Here is a 19,163-nt window from a genome sequence, read left to right on the forward strand (position 1 = left end):
AAGATTCTTTCCTTCATCTTGACTTTAGACAATTTGATGACTATGTGCCTAGATTACGATCTTTTGCGATGAATTTCCTGGGTATTCTTTGAGCCTCTTGTATTTGGATGTCTAGATCTCTAGCAAGGTCAGGGAAGTTTTCCTTGATTACTCCCTCAAATAAATTTTCCAAAGTCTTAGATTTCTCTTCTTCCTGAGGAACACAAATTTTCTTAGGTTGGTTTGTTTAACATAATCCCAAGCTTCTTGGAGGCTTTGTTCATTTTTTTAAAAGTATTTTTTCTTTTTTATTATACTTTAAATTCTGGGATACGTGTGCAGAACATGCAAGTTTGTTACATAGGTATACATGTGCCATGGTGGTTTGCTGCACTCACCAATCTATCATCTACATTAGGTATTTCTTCTAATGCTGTCCCTCCCCTTGCCCCCAACCCCTGACAGACCCCAATGTGTGATGTTCCCATCCCTGTGCCTGTATGTTCTCATTGTCCAGCTTCCACTTACAAGTGAGAACATGTGGTGTTTGGTTTTCTGTTTCTGTGTTAGTTTGCTGAGAATGATGGTTTCCAGCTTCATCCATGTCCCTGTAAAGGACATGAACTAATTCTTTTTTATGGCTGCATAGTATTTCATGGTGTATATGTGCCACATTTTCTTTATCCAGTCTATCATTGATGGGCATTTGGGTTGGTTCCAAGTCTTTGCTATTGTGAATAATGCTGCAGCAAACATATGTGTGCATGTGTCTTTATAGTAGAATGATTTATAATCCTTTGGGTATATACCCAGTAATGGGATTGCTGGGTCAAATGGTATTTCTGGTTCTAGATCCTTGAGGAATCACCACACTGTCTTCCACAATGGTTGAACTAATTTACACTCCCACCAACTGTGTAAAAGCATTCCTATTTCTCCACATCCTCTCCAGCATCTGTTGTTTCCTGACTTTTTAATGATTGCCATTCTAACTCGTGTGAGATGATATCTTCTTGTGGTTTTGATTTGCATTTCTCTAATGATCAGTGATGATGAGCTTTTTTTTCATGTTTGTTGGCTGCAAAAATGTCTTCTTTTGAGAAGTGTCTCTTCATATCCTTTGCCCACTTTTTGATGGGGTTGTTTGTTATTTTCTTGTAAATTTGTTTAAGTTCCTTGTAGATTCTGGATACTAGTCTTTTGTCAGATGGATAGATTGCAAAAATTTTCTCCCATTCTGTAGGTTGCCTGTTCACTCTGATGATAGTTTCTTTGGCTGTGCAGAAGCTCTTTCATTTAATTAGATCCCATTTGTCTATTTTGGCTTTTGTTGCAATTGTTTTTGGTGTTTTAGTTATGAAGTCTTTGCCCATGCCTATGTCCTGAATGGTATTGCCTAGGTTTTTTTTCTAGGGTTTTTAATGGGTTTAGGTCTTAAGTTTAAGTCTTTAATCCATCTTGAGTTAATTTTTGTATAAGATGTAAGGAAGGGGTCCAGTTTCAGTTTTCTGCATATGGCTAGCCAGTTTTCCCAATACCATTTATTAAATAGGGAATCCTTTCCCCATTTCTTGTTTTTGTCATGTTTGTCAAAGATCAGATGGTTGTAGATGTGTGGTGTTATTTCTGAGGGCTCTGTTCTGTTCCATCCTGTTTTGGTACCAGTACCATGCTGTTTTGGTTACTGAGCCTTGTAGTATAGTTTGAAGTCACGTAGCATGATGCCTCCAGCTTTGTTCTTTTGGCTTAGGATTGTCTTGGATATATGGGCTCTTTTTTGTTCCATATGAAATTTAAAGTAGTTTTTTCTAATTCTATGAAGAAAGTCAATGGTAGCTTGATGGGGATAGCATTGAATCTGTAAATTACTTTGGGCAGCATGGCCATTTTCATGGTATTGATTCTTCCTATCCATGAGCATGGAATGTTTTTCCATTTGTTTGTGTCCTCTCTTATTTCCTTGAGCAGTGGTTTGTCGTTCTCCTTGAAGAGGTCCTTCACATCCCTTGTAAGTTGTATTCGTAGGTATTTTATTCTCTTTGTAGCAATTGTGAATGGGAGTTCACTCATGATTTGGCTGTTTGTCTGTTATTGGTGTATAAGAATGCTTGTGATTTTTGTACATTGATTTTGTATCCTGAGTTTGCTGAAGTTGCTTATCAGCTTAAGGAGTTTTTGGGCTGAGATGATAGGGTTTTCTAAATATACAATCATGTCTTCTGCAAACAGAGACAATTTGACTTGCTCTCTTCCTATTTGAATGCCCTTTATTTGTTTCTCTTACCTGATTTCCCTGGCCAGAACTTCCCATACTATGTTGAATAGGAGTGGTGAGAGAGGGCATCCTTGTCTTGTGCTGGTTTTCAAAGGGAATACTTCCAGGTTTGGCCTATTCAGTATGATATTGGCTATGAGTTTGTCATAATTAGCTCTTATTATTTTGAGATATGTTCCATCAATACCTAGTTTATTGAGTGTTTTTAGCATGAAGGGGTGTTGAATTTTATCGAAGGCCTTTTCTGCATCTATTGAGATAATCATGTGGCTTTTACATGGTTCTGTTTATGTGATGGATTATGTTTATTGATTTGCATATGTTGAACCAGCGTTGCATCCCAGGAATTGATCGCGGTGGATAAGCTTTTTGATGTGCTGCTGGATTAGGTTTGCCAGTATTTTATTGAGGATTATCACATCGATGTTCATCAGGGATATTGGCCTGAAATTTTCCTTTTTTGTTGTGTCTCTGCCAGGTTTTGGTATAAGGATGATGCTGGCCTCATAAACTGAGTTAGGCAGGAGTCCCTCTTTTTCTTTTTGGAATAGTTTCAGAAGGAATGGTACCGGCTCCTCTTTGTACCTCTGGTAGAATTTGGCTGTGAACCCATCTGGTCCTGGGCTTTTTTTGGTTGGTAGGCTATTAATTACTGCCTCAATTTCAGAGCTTGTTATTGGTCTATTCAGGGATTTGACTTCTCCCTGGTTTGGTCTTGGGAGGGTGTATGTGTCCAGGAATTTATTCATTTCTTCTAGATTTTCTAGTTTATTTGTGTAGAGGTGTTTATAGTATTCTCTGATGGTAGTTTCTGTTTCTGTGGGATCAGTGGTGATATCCCCTTTATCATTTTTTATTGTGTCTATTTGATTTTTCTCTCTTTTCCTCTTTATTAGTCTGGCTAGCAGTCTATCTATTTTGTTAATCTTTTCAAAAAACCAGCTCCTAGATTCGTTGATTTTTTTGAAGGGTTTTTCATGTCTCGATGTCCTTCAGTTCTGCTCTGATCTTAATTATTTCTTGTCTTCTGCCAGCTTTTGAATCTGTTTGTTTTTTCTTCTCTAGTTCTTTTAATTGTGATGTTAGGGTATTGGTTTTGGATCTTTCCCACTTTCTGATGTGGGCATTTAGTGCTACAAATTTCCCTATAAACACTGCTTTAGCTGTGTCCCAGAGATTCTGGTACGTTGTGTGTTTGTTCTCAATGGTTTTAAAGAACTTATTTAGTTCCACCTTAATTTTGTTACTTACCCAGTAGTCATTCAGGAGCAGGTTGTTTAGTTTTCATGTAGTTGTGTGGTTTTGAGTGAATTCCTGTTTTCTTTTTTCTTTCTTTCTTTTTTTTTTTTTTAGATGGAGTCTCGCTCTGCCACTGAGGCTGGAGTGCAGTGGCGCCATCTTGACTCACTGCAACCTCTGCCTCCTGGGTTCAAGCGATTCTCCTGTCTCAGCCTCCCAAGTAGCCGGGACTACAGGCATGTGCCAGCATACCTGGCTAATTTTTGTACTTTTTGTAGAGACAGGGTTTCACCATGTTGGCTAGGCTGTTGTTGAACTTCTGACCTCAGGTGATTGGCCTTCCTCGGCCTCCCAAAGTGCTGGGATTACAGGCGTGAGCCACTGCACTCGGCCTTGAGTGAGTTTCTTAATCCTGAGTTCTAATTTCCTTGCACTGTGGTCTGAGAGACTGTTTGTAATGATTTCCGTTCTTTTGCATTTGCTGAGGGTGTTTTATTTCCAATTATGTGTTCAATTTTAGAATAAGTGCTATGCGGTGCTGAGAAGAATGTATATTCTGTTGCTTTGGGGTGGAGAGTTCTGTAGATGTCTATTAGGTCTGTTTGGTCCGGAGCTGAGTTCAAGTCGTGAATATCCTTGTTAATTTTCTGTCTCATTCTTCTATCTAATATTGACAGTGGAGTGTTAAAGTTTCCTACTATTACTGTGTGGGAGTCTAAGTCTCTTTGTAGGTCTCTTAAAACTTGCTTTATGAATCTGGGTGCTCTTATATTGGGTGCATGTATTTAGGATAGTTAGCTCTTCTTGTTGCATTGATCCCTTTACCATTATGTAATGCCCTTCTTTGTCTTTTTTGATCTTTGTTGGTTTAAAGTCTGTTTTATCAGAGACTAGGATTGCAATCTCTGCTTTTTGTTTGTTTGTTTGCTTTCCATTTGCTTGGTAAATATTCCTCCATCCCTTTATTTTGAGTCTATGTGTGTCTTTGCACGTGAGATGGGTCTCCTGAATACAGCACACCGATGGGTCTTGACTCTTCATCCACTGTGCCAGTCTGTGTCTTTTAATTGGGGCATTTAGCTTGTTTACATTTAAGGTTAATATTGTTGTGTGTGAATTTGGTCCTGTCATTATGATGCTAGCTGGTTATTTTGCCCATTAGTTGATGCAGTTTCTTCATAGTGTTGATGGTCTTTACATTTTGGTATGTTTTTGCAGTGGCTGGTACCAGTTTTTCCTTTCCATATTTAGTGCTTCCTTCAGGAGCTCTTGTAAGGCAGGCCTGGTGGTGACAAAATCCCTTAGCATTGCTTGTCTGTAAAGGATTTTATTTTCCTTCACTTTAAGGTTAGTTTGGCTGGATATGAAATTCTGGGTTGAAAATTCTTTTCTTTAAGAATGTTGAATATTGGCCCCTACTCTCTTCTGGCTTGTAGGGTTTCTGCAGAGAGAGCCACTGTTAATCTGATGGGCTTCCCTTTGTGGGTAACCCGACCTTTCTCTCTGGCTGCCCTTAAGATTTTTTCCTTCATTTCAACCTTGGTGAATCTGACAATTATGTGTCTTGGGGTTGTTCTTCTCTAGGAGTATCTTTGTGGTGTTCTCTGTATTTCCTGAATTTGAATGTTGGCCTGTCTTGCTAGATTGGGGAATTTCTCCTGGATAATATCCTGAAGTGTGTTTTCCAACTTGGTTCCATTCTCCCTGTCACTTTCAGGTACACCAATCAAATGTTGGTTTGGTCTTTTCACATAGTCCCATATTTCTTGGAGGCTTTGTTCATTCCTTTCATTCTGTTTTCTCTAATCTTGTCTTCACACTTTATTTCATTAAGTTGATCTTCAGTCTCTGATATCGTTTCTTCCTCTTGGTTGATTCAGCTATTGATACTTGTGTATGTTTCACGAAGTTCTCATGCTGTGTTTTTCAGCTCCATCAGGTCTTTTCTGTTCTCTAAACTGGTTATTCTAGTTAGCACTTCCTGTAACCTTTTATCAAGGTTCTTAGCTTCTTTGCATTGGGTTAGAACATGCTTTTTTAGCTTGGAGGAGGTTGTTATTACCTACCTTCTGAAGCCTACTTCTGTCAATTCATCAAACTCAGTCTCCATCCAGTTTTGTTTCCTTGCTGGCAAGGAGTTGTGATCCTTTGGAGGAGAAGAGGCATTCTGGTTTTTGGAATTTTCAGCCTTTTTGCACTGGTTTTTCCTCATCTTCATGGATTTATCTACTTTTGGTCTTTGATGTTGGAGACCTTCAGTTGGGGTTTTTGCGTGGGCATCCTTTTAGTTGATGTTGATGATACTGCTTTCTGTTTGTTAGTTTTACTTCTAATAGTCAGGGTCCTCTTCTGTAGGTCTGCTGGAGTTTGCTGGGGGTGTACTCCAGACCCTGTTTTCCTGGGTATCACCAGCGGAGGCTGCAGAACAGCAAATATTGCTGCCTGCTCCTTCCTCTGGAAGCTTCATCCCAGAGGGGCACTCGCCAGATACCAGCTGGAGTCTTCCTATATGAGGTGTATGTTGGCCCCTGCTGGGAGGTGTCTCCCAAACAGGAGGCACGTGGGTCAGGGACCCACTTGAGGAGGCAGTCTGTCCCTTAGCAGAACTCGAGCACTGTGCTGGGAGATCCTCTGCTCTCTTCAGAGCTGGCAGGCAGGAACATTTAAGTCTGCTGAAGCTGCACCCACAGGTGCCCCTTCCCCCAGGTGCTTTGTTCCAGGGCATTTCTCTCAGAGATGCCCTGCCCAGAGAGGAGGAAACTAGAGAGGTGGTCTGGCTACAGTGGCTTTGCCATGCTGTGGTGGGCTCTGCTTAGTTCGAACTTCCCTGTGGCTTTGTTTACACTGTGAAGGGAAAACCGCCTACTGAAGCCTCAGTAATGGTGGACTCCCCTCCACCTCCCCCAACAAGCTCAAGCATCCCAGGTTGACTTTAGACTGCTGTTTTGGCAGTGAGAATTTGAAGCCAGTGGATCTTAGCTTGTTGGGCTCCATGGGGATGGGATCTACTGAGCAAGACTACTCGGCTCCCAGGCTTCAGCCCCTTTTCCAGGGGAGCGAACAGTTCTGTCTCATTGGAGTTTCATGTGCAACTGGGGTACAAAAACAAACACCTTCAGCTAGCTAGGTGTCTTCCCAAACACCCACCCAGTTTTGTGCTTGAAACCCAGGGCCCTGGTTGTGTAGGCACCCAATGGAATCTCCTGGTCTGTGGGTTGCAGAAACCATAAGAAAAACATAGTATCTGGGCCAGGTAGCACCATCCCTCATGGCACAGTTCCTCATGGCTTCCCTTGGCTAGTAGATGGAGTTCCCCGGTCCCTTGCACTTCCCAGGTGAGGCAACACCCACCCCTGCTTCTGCTCGCCCTCTGTGGGCTGCACCCACTGTCTAACCAGTCCCAATGAGATGAACTGGGTATCTCAGTTGGAAATGCAGAAATCACCCACCTTCTGCATTGGTCTCACTGGGAGCTGCAGACCAGATCTGTTCTATTTGACCATCTTGCCAGCCCCCTGTCCCCATATTTTCTTTGTCTTTGTTGGATTGGATTAATTTGAAAGCCTTGTCTTTGAGCTCTAAAGTCTTTTCCTTTACTTGTTCGGTTCTATTGTTGAAATTTTCCAGTGTATTTTGCATTTCTGTAAGCATGTCTTTCATTTCCAGAAGCTGTGATTTTTTTTTATGATATCTGTTTCTTCAGAGATTTTTTTTCAATCATATCCTGTATTATTTTTTAAGTTTCTTTAAGTTTGTTTTCACCTTTCTCTGGTGCCTCCTTGAGTAGCTTAATAATCGACCTTCTGAATTCTTTTTCTGGCAATTCAGAGATTTCTCCTTGGTTTTGATCCATTGCTGGTGAGCTAGTGTGATCTTTTGATGGTGTTATAGAACCTTGTTTTGTCATATTACCAGAATTGTTTTTTTTTTTTCTAGTTTGGATAGACTATGTCAGAGGAAAGATCTGGGACTCAAGGGCTGCTGTTCAGATTCTTTTGTCCCATGGGGTGATCCCTTGATGTGGTGCTCTCCCTCTTCCCCTAGGGATGGGGCTTCCTGAGAGCATGACTGCAGTGATTGTTATTGCTCTTCTGGGTCTAGCTACCCAGTGGAGCTATCAGGCTTTAGGCTGGTAGTGGGGAGTGTCTGTGAAGAGTACTATGATGTGATTCATCTTCAGGTCTCTCAGCCGTGGCTACCAGCACCTTCTCCAGTGGAGGTGGCAGGGCAGTGAAGCAGACTCTATGAGAGTCCTTGGTTGTAGTTTTGTTTAGTATGCTGGTTTTCTCAAATGCTGGTTATGCTGGCAGTGAAGTTGTGATGTGAACAAGTTCAGGACCTCTGGTTAGCCAGGGTGTTACAGCCGGTGGAATTAGATGTTGTTTTCCCCTTCCTTGGAGTAGGGTTGGTCTGTTATGAGTTGCTGTAATGCCTTGAGTTGGTTGGCTTCCAGCCACATGGTGTTGTCTTTAAGAGAGCAACATCGATGGTAGTGTGGAGGGATACAAACTTGGCCTAACATCACCTGGATAAGTATTCAGGTTTCTCAGGTAATGGGCAGAGCCATAGAGCTCCCATGAATTTATGTCTTTTGTCTTCAGTTACTACGTCAGGTAGAGAAAAACCATCAGGTGGGGGCAGGGTTAGGCGTTTCTGAGCTCAGACTTTCCTTGGGCAGGGCTTGCTGCTGCCACTGTGAGGGGTGGGGTAGTGGTTCTCAGGCCAATGGAGTTATGTTCCAAGGGGGATTATGGCTCCCTCTGATGCTTTGTACAGTTCGCCAGGGAAGTAGGGGGAAAGTTGGCATTGACAGGCCTCACCCAGCTCCCACACAGCCAGCAAGGCCAGTTTCACTCCCTCTGTACTCCCACAACAGCCAACAGAGCCAAATTTATATCCAGACCTCCAGTGTGTAGGGCTGAGATCTTGCTCCAGCAGCTTTCAGTACTTCGCCATTCAGTATGATACTAGCTGTGAGTCTGTCATATACGGCTTTTATTATGTTGAGATACATTCCTTCTATACCCAGTTTTATTGAGGGTTTTTATCATGAAGGGATGTTAAATTTTATCAAAAGCTTTTTCAGCATCAATTGAAATGATCATATGGTTTGATATGATATATCACACTGATTTATTTGTGTATGTTGAATCATTCTTGCATCCATGGGATAAATCACACAGCCATGATGAATGATGTTTCAATGTGTTGTTGAATTTGGTTTGCTCGTATTTTTTGAGGATTTTTGCATCAATGTTCATCCGGGATATGGGCCTTTAGTTTTCTTTTTTTGATGTGTCTTTGTGTCTGGTTTTGGTTTAAGGGTACTACTGGCCTCATAGAATGAGTTTGGAAGTAACCCCCTCTCCTCTATTTTTCAGAATAGTTTGAGCAGGGGTGGTATTAATTCTTCTTTAAATGTTTGGTAAAATTTTGCAGTAAAGCCATTGGGTCCTAGGTTTTTCTTTGCTGGGAGACTTTTTATTATAGCTTCAATCTTGCTAGATGTTATTGATTTATTCAAGTTTTGGATTTCTTCATGGTTCAATCTTTGTAGATTGTATGTGGCTAGGAATTTATTTATTTTTAGGTTTTAAAATTTATTGGCATATATTTACCTCATAGTAACCTCTAGCGATCCTTTGAATTTCTGTGGTATTGATTGTAATGTCTCCTTTTCCTTCTCTCATTTTATTTATTTGAGGCCTCTCTCTTTTTTTCCTTAGTCTGCCTGGCTAACGGTTTGTCATTCTGTTTATCTTTTCAAAAAAGTAAACTTTTTGTTTCGTTGATCTTTTGTATCATTTTCTTCAATTTCATTTATTTCTGCTCTGATCTTTATTGTTTCTTCTACTAACTTTGGGTTTGGTTTGCTCATGCTTTTCTAGTTCTTTAAGATGCATCATTAGGTTATTTGAAGTTTTTCTTCCTTTTTGATGTAGGTGTTTATAGCTATATACATCCCTCTTAGTACTGCATTTGCTGTATCCTTTAGATTTTGTTGTTGTATTCCAATTATTTGTTTCAATAAATTTTTTGATTGCCATTTTAATCTCCTCTTTGACCCACTGGTCATTCTGGAGCATATTGTTTAAATTCCATGTGATTTTATAGTTTCCAAAATTCCCTTTGTTATTGATTTCTGGTTTATTTCATTGTTGTCAGAGAAGATACTTGATGTGATTTCCATTTTTGAATGTTTAAGACTTGTTTTGTGGCTAGCATATGGTCTGTCCTTAAGACTGATTCATGTGCTTAGGAGAAGAATGTTTATTTTGCAACTGTTGGATGAAATATTTATAAATATCTATTAGATCCATTTGGTCTATAGTGCAGATTAAGTCCAGTGTTTCGTAGTTTTCTTGTTATGTATTTCCCTCAGGCTTCAGATCTTTTTACCAGCTCAGTGTAGAGCCCTGGGGCCTGTGTGTCTATCTGATAGGATAAGCCGTGGTTATTTATTTTTGCCATTTTACGTCTCTTCAAGCTCTTGTTATGTCACTTGCACAGCTTTGTGAGTGAAAAGATATAAATATGATTTGGGATATTCTGCTTACAGGGTGATGAAAGGAGCCCAGAGAAAAAGATAAAATTTACCTGGTGCTCTTAGTGAGTCTCTTTTTGTGCTTTGTATTCTTTTAGAGGAATCTTCTGTTTAAGAAGTTTATCTTTTGACTTTATGTCTAGTATGTTCTGTTTATTGGCAAGGATAACTAATTCTTTATGGTTGTGGTTGTGCTTCCTTTCTCCAATCGAGAGAGACCAAAATATAAACTTAAGTGGTTTTTTCCTGCTGATCACTCATTATGCATTTTCTAGGCATCTTTTTCCTGGATTGCCTATTTATGTCCTCAAATCTCTTCTTACAAAATTCAGGTATATTAGTGACCTTTACTTTCATTATTATATGTTTTCATTTTCTTTCACCAATACTATACAAGTAGTAATAGGGTGAGGAGCCACAGTGAGTAGGGTGAAATGAGCACATTTGTATATTGTGGCTCTCTTACTGAGCCTCACTAGTATTACCGATTATAGCATGAGATTGTATGTTTTTGTTGTTGAATGTATTTTTGCCAGTTTTTAACTACTTTTGTTTCTTTCCTCTCTTCCTGTCTTGCTTTTTTGTTGTTGTTGTTAGTTTAGGAGAAGGAAGATTTTGTAAGCTGGCTTTACCATCTTTACCAAGAAGTTTGATTTACTGTATTATTTCAATTATGTGTACTTCAAATTTCTTATATATTTTTTCTGTTTGATCAGTCATGAGCTAAAAGGAGTTAAGGGTTCTATTACTATTATCTTTCTCTTCCTTTTGAATTCTCTACTAATTTTGCATTGCATATTTTGATGAATACTATTTGTTGTATAAAAGTTTATACTAATTCATTGTTTTTTTTGGAAATAGTATACTTTATTTTTGTATTTTTGCCCCAAAGTCAGCTTTATCTGGTATTCATATTGTGACCCTCACTTTCTTCTTGTATTTGTCTCCTGTGTTTTTGTCTACTTTTTATTAACCTTGATTGAATCTGTAATCCAAGAGTCTTTTTTTGACTAATAGGCTAGTTTTCCTGATTGTATTTGTTGATATGATATGTATCAGTTTTGATTTATTCTTGTGTTTCTGTAATAAACTCTATTTGGTTATGATGTATTTTTAAAATGTGATGTTAGATAATGCTGGCCAATATTTTATTTAGCACTTTTATGTTGATATGCATAAGTTGAATGGTTTGTACTTTAACTTTGTTATTGTGATAAAAACATATAACATTAAGTGCACCATCTTAACACTTTTTAAATGTACAGTTCAGCAGTGTTAAGTATATTCATCCTGTTGTGCAACAGATCTCTAGTAGTTTTCCATCTTGTAAAACTAAAAGTCTATACCCATTCAACACGAATTCCCTTTTCCTCTTCCTCCCAGTCCTTGGCAACCACCTTTGCACATCCTGTTTCTGATTTTGAATACTTTATATGAGTGGAATCATACAGTATTTGTGCTTATGTGACTGGCTTATTTCACTTAGCATAATGTCCTCGAGGTTTATCTATGTTGTAGTATGTAACAGGATGCCCTTTTTAAAGGCTGCATAATATTCTATTATATGTGTATACCATCTTTTCCTTATTATTTTTCTTTTGATGGACATTTGAGTTGCTTCTACCTCTTGCTATTGTGAATAATGCTGTAATGAATGTGAGTGTGCAACTATCTCTTTAAAATCTTGCTTTGAATTCTTTTGGATATATTTCCAGAAGTGGGATTCTTAGATCATATGGCAACTGTATCATTAATTTTCTGAGAACCTCTATATTGGCTGTAGTGACTGTACCATTTGACATTCCCACACAGCAGTGCATAAGGATTCTAATTTCTCCACATCCACATCAGCATTTGTTATTTCCTATTCATTTGATAGTGGCCATCCTAATGTGTGTAGGCAATATCTCATGTGGCTGTGATTTGCATTTCTCATATGATTAGCAATGGTGACTATTTTTAATATGCCTGTTGGACATTGTATATCTTCTTTGGTGGTTTGATTATTCAAGTCTTTTGCCCATTTTTGAATTGGGTTAATAATAATTTTAATCCAATTTTTGTGTTGTTGAGTTGTAGGAGTTGTTTATGATTCTGGATATTAACTCTTCATTGATTATATATCTTAATAATGTTTTTGTCATCTTATTTTTCACTACATATTCACTACATATTTTCTTTCTTATTCTCTAAAGTAAGTGTGTGTGTGTGTGTGTGTGTGTGTCTTACTTTGGTTGATTTGGAAGGTATATGTAGTCTTTTAAATTAGTTTATTGATTACCTTTATATTTTAAAATAATGTATCTAATACTGTCTCCTGTTTCATATTGCCCTACATATACAATTTTAGTATTTATTATTTTACATTGTCAAGATTGATAAAAATGTATATTCTATTATTTCACTATGATTCCTGTATCTCTTTAACTTGAGCTTTATATTTACATAGATTCAGCTCATCTTTTATATGCAACTTTTTTCCAAGTTCTCAGTCAATATGACAATCCCCACTTTACCTATAAGCCCATTGGTATAGGAAACTGTTACTAGATGACTGTCTTAACTTCTAATTAAAATAGATTGGCTTTTTGGGATTATGATAAATCATTTTTCCTATATCTTTCATTAATTTGATGGGGCCTTAATCTCTGCCTAGCAATGTGAAATTTGTTTACTATCTTGATATGGAGAGAGAGATTCAAAGTTGGTCCTTTCAACTTTAAAATCTCTTACTCTGTGACTCTGTGGTCAGAACAAACATGGGGATTATTCCTTTTATTGAGTTTGTTCAAACTATATTCTTAGAATCTAAAAAAATGAGCACAAGATAGGTTTATGGTTCCATGGGCTCACCATGAAGTAGACTCTGATAAAATTCTAATTATTGCTTGATGCTGATATGCTTGCACTCTGACCAGTGAAAAAATAGTGGCATTATAGATTCCCAATAATTAATGTTAGTTGATGTGCAATTACCCATGTCTTAATATTTTAATCCTTGGTGCACAAGATAGTAGGAAGGATGCAGTATGTATTTGTGATATTATTTCAGAACTTTTCCACTAGAGTACCAGGCTTCCTTTTTATTCAAAAGGCTATAGGCTGATACGTTTATTTAGATCCAAAATTTGGTTACAAGGTTGTCATTCTCTACTCTGGTGATCAAGTCAACTCTCTGTTTGCCAGGCCGTATTATAGGAATATCTTACTTATTCAGATTAAATAGGAACCTTAGTGGTCTGGCCATCTCTTTGGTTTAAGGGAACTGATGATTATTTAGCTACCACTAAAGATACGCATTCTTGTATGAGCTGTTTCATACCTTGGAAACATATATTATATTAGAAGAGACTTTACCAAGATCTCCAGACGAGGAAAAGTCAGAATTGCAGAGACAGTGCAGTTGTAGGCGATGGTTTCTCCCGTCTGTCCTCTAGAAGCCAAGATACATATTCTGAGAGTCATTACGATATTGCTGGTTTAGAAAATGTGCTTTGTCCTAAAAGACAGCATTCCAGCCCCTTAGAGTAGACTCCAATTGTCACTATAACTGAAGATCAACCATTGGTAGGTTATAGGATACATAATAAGAACAGTAAATACTATTGCATCAGTTTACAGCCAGCTTCTTTCATAGTGAAGTGAGTTCTGTGATTAGGAGCAATGCTATGGGAGAGATAACATGGTGTATGCAAGGTATTCAGTGAGGATAGATACTGGCATAGACATCATGGGCGAGTTTTACTGCCTAAAATTCTGCACACTTGGAGATTTTTACTTTCTAAGACCTCTAATACTCCCTGGAGTTGTAAAAATTTTGTGCTTCAGATGGTTGTCATATTACAGGCACCCTACATATTCATTTATGTAGGCCAGGCTTTTCTTTTATCTTACTGAATAAATTCTATCTAATGATATTAGCATATCACTCTTTCCATTCTGACCACAGCTCTCCTTTCCATTTTTATCTTGACTATACACATACCCAAAGTCTAACTGAACTGCACCTTTTCTCAACATGCATAGAAAAATCTAATTCTGCCTGTAAAGGCTCACAATATTTTAGATCTTTTTGCAACTTTTCACAGCTTAGTTACTTGTGCGTATCTCTCATTCTGTAATTTGTTCCATTAGCTTTATTTTACAAATAAGAAAGCTGAGATTCAGAGTTTTAAGAGACTTATTCAAAAGTCCACAGATATACACTAGAGACTGATTAGAATAAAGGAAGAGATAATCAAAACCAAATAATACCTCTGTAGAAAGGAACTAACTTTTCTTTTTTTTCTTTTTATTACTTTATAAGATTGAGAGGTTCGTCATCTTTCTTTGTTAATACTTACTAGGAAAGATTTTGATAATATTCATTTGTGATCATTGTGATGTTTATGTTACTTGTACTTGATATTTATTTTTAATAGGAAAAACTCAAAAGAGAGGCAAAAGAAAACACAGCTACTCTTAAAGAAAAAAAAGACAAGGTAAGAGCATATAATTCTCATAGTTTTAAAATACCAATTCATTTTCTAACTTCTACTTAGAAATGATTTTTTGTTTATAAGTAGGAAAATAACATTTTACATATATCATACAATTTCATTTTCTAAATTGTTTCTTGCTATTTATTAATTCAAAAGCATTTTAGCTAAAAATTTCAAAATTTTGTCATTTGGAGATTTGGAGAAGGTTTCAGTCTAATGCAGAAACAAAAAAGAAGAAAAAAAGAAGGTTTCAGTCTTTCTCTACAATTCTTATTATAGTTTTAATTTAATTAGGTACCTCTGTGTTTCTCTCTTAAGAATTTTTTAATGTTAGAGGCAAAATATTTTCATAAACAATTCTAAAGTTTATTTAGATTATGTCTAATTTTGGGTTTTGAGGGGGCTTAATAAATGACATCCTGTTTTCCTCACTTATATTCTGAACCAATTGAGAAAGACAAGGGAGAATAAAAATAATATTTTTATTATTGAAGACTTTATTAAAAAGTATCAATATTTTAAATACTGGAGAATGCAGTTTATATTTGAAGGCAATAGGATCTCTTAATCTTGAAATCCCAAATTAGACAAATTTATCTTCTGCCACAAGTAGAGCTTGACTAGCATAGGTCTACCCACTTGATCATCTGCTCTTGTAAAACTTAGGGTATAAAGGAGAAGAGCAGAATTTATGTGTAATTCTAATAGTTCTCAAGGGGAGTAATAAGGAAGAGGCTGAGCTGTATGTGTCCAGCTTCTCCTTTTCTTTAAATTCACCAATCACATTAAGTAATTTTTTCTCCCCTAAGGAATCAGGAAGAGGTTTGGAATGTTACCCTAGTGGTACTCCCTACATATGGAAGGAAACATCAGTCATAGAGAAGAAGAATACCCCTCAGCTTCTAACCTATTTGATAATATAGGATCATTGCAGAAGAATTTTGATTTAGCAAATTTTTGGTTAAAATGATTAAGAATTTTCTTTACATATAGTGATATAATCTCCTAAGTTCCCACAGAGGTTGCTCTGATTATAGTTAAACTGGAAGGAAATGACACTCAGAGTAGTTTGAGAACAGTTCATTATATTTTATTACACTTGAGTTAAAAGAGAATAAAGGAAAGATGCACTGAACCTGTGAGTGAATACTGAGTGCTTTGTATGTTCCAGACACTGTGCTAGACACTTGAAAACATTATATCTGAAGAAATTATAATCATAATAAAATTATGCAGAATGGTTAGATATAGACTTAAGGAAGTATCTAATGAATATAAGCAAATTGGTTAATCTCCAATATTCTTTTTTAAATTTAGAATGTCTTCATATTATGAAAGTATGTATCACATATTCTTATAGAGATATTTTGATTCATGTACAATTCTATATGTTTCCATTATCAAGTAGATTAGCAAATGCCATATATTTTATCTGAGAGTCTAGATATATATGTTGGAAAATGAACCATATATATGTTGGAAAATGAGAAAAATGATGAATGAAGAAATTTAACTAGGCTTTTTTTTTTTTTGCTGTGCTTTATTCCAACACTACTGAAACATAAGGCTTGTTAAATTTACCAAACGTTTCTGAGTTTGGACAAGTTACTTAACTTCTTCGTGTTTCAATTTTCTCATCTATAAAGGGATAATAATAATACCTATTTCCTAAAGTTGTTATGAGGATTAAATGAGATGGTATTTGTAAAACATTTAAAATAGTGCTTGGGACATAGCACATGCCTTATAAATGTTTGTTTGAAAAATACAACAGAGAAAATTGTGAATTTTCTGGAAAGGGATAGTTCAGTATTGTCACATGAGAATTTTCTTTAGGCTACCAGCGAAATGTCAAATTCCAGATATGGCCACAAGGTGGTGCAGTGACCTTAAATTGTCATTCTCCTACCTGTAGGGAGGAACAATTTGTCCATTAAAGCAGTTACATTTTGGCGGTTCCAAAGTTTACCCCTGATGAATCCAGAGAGCAGTAAAAAAATTGCTCTCATCAAAATTTTGTCATCAACTATGATGTATAAATATGTAGGGAAAAGGATACAGAAATGCAATTCTGAAAAAATTCATACTTGCTAGAAAAAGGATTATGAAATGACAGATCACTAGAATTACGCAGGAAAGATATAAGCCATCTCATTTAGCCTCTTGATTTATAGATGAATAAATTTAAGCTTGGAGATACTTGAAGATTTACTTAAATAATCCGGAAAGATAGGAAAGATCTAGGAGAAAAGACCATATGATGTACCTGGCTCCTAGTTCAATGATTTTTTTATAGTACATGTAGTTGCCTCTTTATCCTATACTCTAATTTAAACGCACTGAAAGTTCAGCCACCATGCTTTCAAATTTTGTCCTTGTATTCCCTTTTTGTGTGTGTGTGCTCTAGAGAATTCAGAGAAAGGAGAGATGTTCTCAGAAGAACATGGTCCTGTAAAGGAGGGCTCTACAATGAAAGGCAGTAGGAGAACTGAAAGAACACGATTCTAGAAAAAGGGGAATTTGAGTTTCACAGCTAACTAGCTGTGGAATTGAGTAAATTAACATGCCTCAATTTCCTTACAATTTCCTTATGAATAATTGCCACGATTGTATTCGTGGAGATGGTGGTGACCAAAGAAACTGTAAAATAGAAAGTGATGAGCATGAGTTTCATGTAGAATCCCACTAAAGCAACTATTACTAGCTTTTACTAGAAAGTTAGGTCAGGTGCTAAAAGAAGCTGTATACAAAGGTAGAGTGAAAGAGAACTGAGGAAACTGAGTTGAAAAAATGTCAAGTATTTAGAGTAAACTTGCAATTTATTTATTTAGAATTGAAGCAAATAGCCATTTTCTCAGTTTTTTTCCCTGAAAATTTTTCTCATTCTTTACTTTCATAATTATTCTCCTTGCTTTTGGAGGCAAGTTAGGCTGGTGGATAGGAAAAGGCTGATATTTTTATAGGTGAAAAAGAAGAAGTATCAATGTATGAAAGAGAACGAATGAAAGTTAGAATAGATTTCCTTCTGACTTTTAGGCTATTGTAATGAACCATAGATTAGGGCTTTTTGCCACCAGGAGTAAAGATTTTTTTTTATTTTTTAAAGAGAATCCTCAACTTTTGGTCAGAGAGTTGAGATATCTTATTTGTTTTCATTTTTAAAAATTTAACTTTTATTTTAAGTTCAGGGGTACATGTACAGATTTATTATATAGGTAAACTTCTGTCATGGGGGTTTGTTGTACAGATTATTTTGTCACCCAGGTATTAAACCTATACCCGTTAGTTATTTTTCCTGATCCTCTTCCTCCTCCCATCCTGCATGCTCCCATAGGCCCCAGTGTGTTTTGTTGTCTCCCTCTATGTGTCCATGTGTTCTCATGATTTAGCTCCCACTTATAAATGAGTCCATGTGGTATTTGGCTTTCTGTTCCTGCATTAGTTTGCTAAGAATAACGACCTCCAGGATATCTTATTTGTTTTCATAGAGGCTCTGTGAAGACAGGCAGGGGCAGATAACATTTGCATCTTAAATGGACAAGTAAAGTGACAAAGAAGATAACTGTAACTTATTCAAACTTATCTAGTCAGTGATAAATTTAGGGATAAATTTGCTTATTTTGTTGTGAATTCTACTAGTTGCTGCACTTTAATTAAAGAAATAAATAATTAATGTGACATTTAGTGATGGTTTTATTCATTCTTGTTGTTCAATGCAGAAAACACAAACATTTTTATTGGAAACACCTGAAATTTATTGGAAATTGGATTCTAAAGCAGTTCCTTCACAAACTGTATCTCGAAATTTCACATCAGTTGATCATGGCATATCCAAAGATAAAAGAGACTATCTGTGGACATCTGCCAAAAATACTTTATCTACACCATTGCCAAAGGTTTGTGTCTAAATTTTCCATGTTAGTAGTAATTTTTTAAATAAATAAATAAAGTTCTGTTATCACCATATATCTGGCATCACGCACACATATATAACTAGTTTCTTGAAAGTTTCAATTTTTTTTGTGGTATCAGCATGAAATGTAAAGACAAGGTCTTGCTGTGTTGCCTAGGATGGTCTTGAACTCCTGGCCTTAACTCATCCTCCTGTCTTGGCCTCCCAAAGTATTGGGATTATAGGTGTAAGCCACTGTGCCTGGCCTTCAACATGAAATTGTTTCATTTTTTTCGATCACTGTCCACAACTTAATGTCATCTTGGGCAGATTTCATAACTTAATAGTTATTTATCAGTGTTTAAGGCCCTGACACAGGAAATCTGATTCTGACTTGACATTTTATAGCATCACCACAGTTACTACTTCCCTTTGCTGTTTACCCCAATCATCTTGCATCTGTAGTCCTTGGCAGTCATCTTGGAGCAGATGCCTCTAGCAAAGTGGCTCAGTTCTGACTGTCTTTCATATAGCCACTTAATCCATGGGGAATTCATACAACTTTTCCATGCTAAATGGCAGTGCAGATGCTTTACTTTTGATCTCTCTTACCTCTCTCTCGTTTCCTTTTCCTCTCCTCAGCTAGATACAAAGACAAACAAATTTGCTGCCTACATTCATATCTAACTAGGGAATGAGATGCCAGTCTTTCTTTCTTGGAAGCACTCCTAATATTCTTTATAAAGATGCTCT

General features: G+C 36.9%; 1 protein-coding gene across 10 annotated transcripts in view; it reads left to right on the top strand.

The window, feature by feature from the left end:
* The window catches only part of SYCP1 (synaptonemal complex protein 1), a 141,283-nt gene that overhangs the window by 109,011 nt on the left and 13,109 nt on the right, over window positions 1-19,163 (top strand). For all 10 annotated transcript variants that reach the window (NR_104211.2, XM_017002184.2, NM_001282541.2 and 7 more), the window contains 2 exons: window positions 14,459-14,518; window positions 18,238-18,414. Coding sequence is in view for 9 of the 10 variants with exons in the window: in XM_017002184.2 (XP_016857673.1) it covers window positions 14,459-14,518; window positions 18,238-18,414 (237 nt within the window). In the remaining variant the exon portion in view is untranslated. The remainder of the gene's footprint in view (window positions 1-14,458; window positions 14,519-18,237; window positions 18,415-19,163) is intronic.

This window comes from Homo sapiens, chromosome 1 (assembly GCF_000001405.40).
Source record: "Homo sapiens chromosome 1, GRCh38.p14 Primary Assembly".
NCBI lineage: Eukaryota > Metazoa > Chordata > Mammalia > Primates > Hominidae > Homo > Homo sapiens.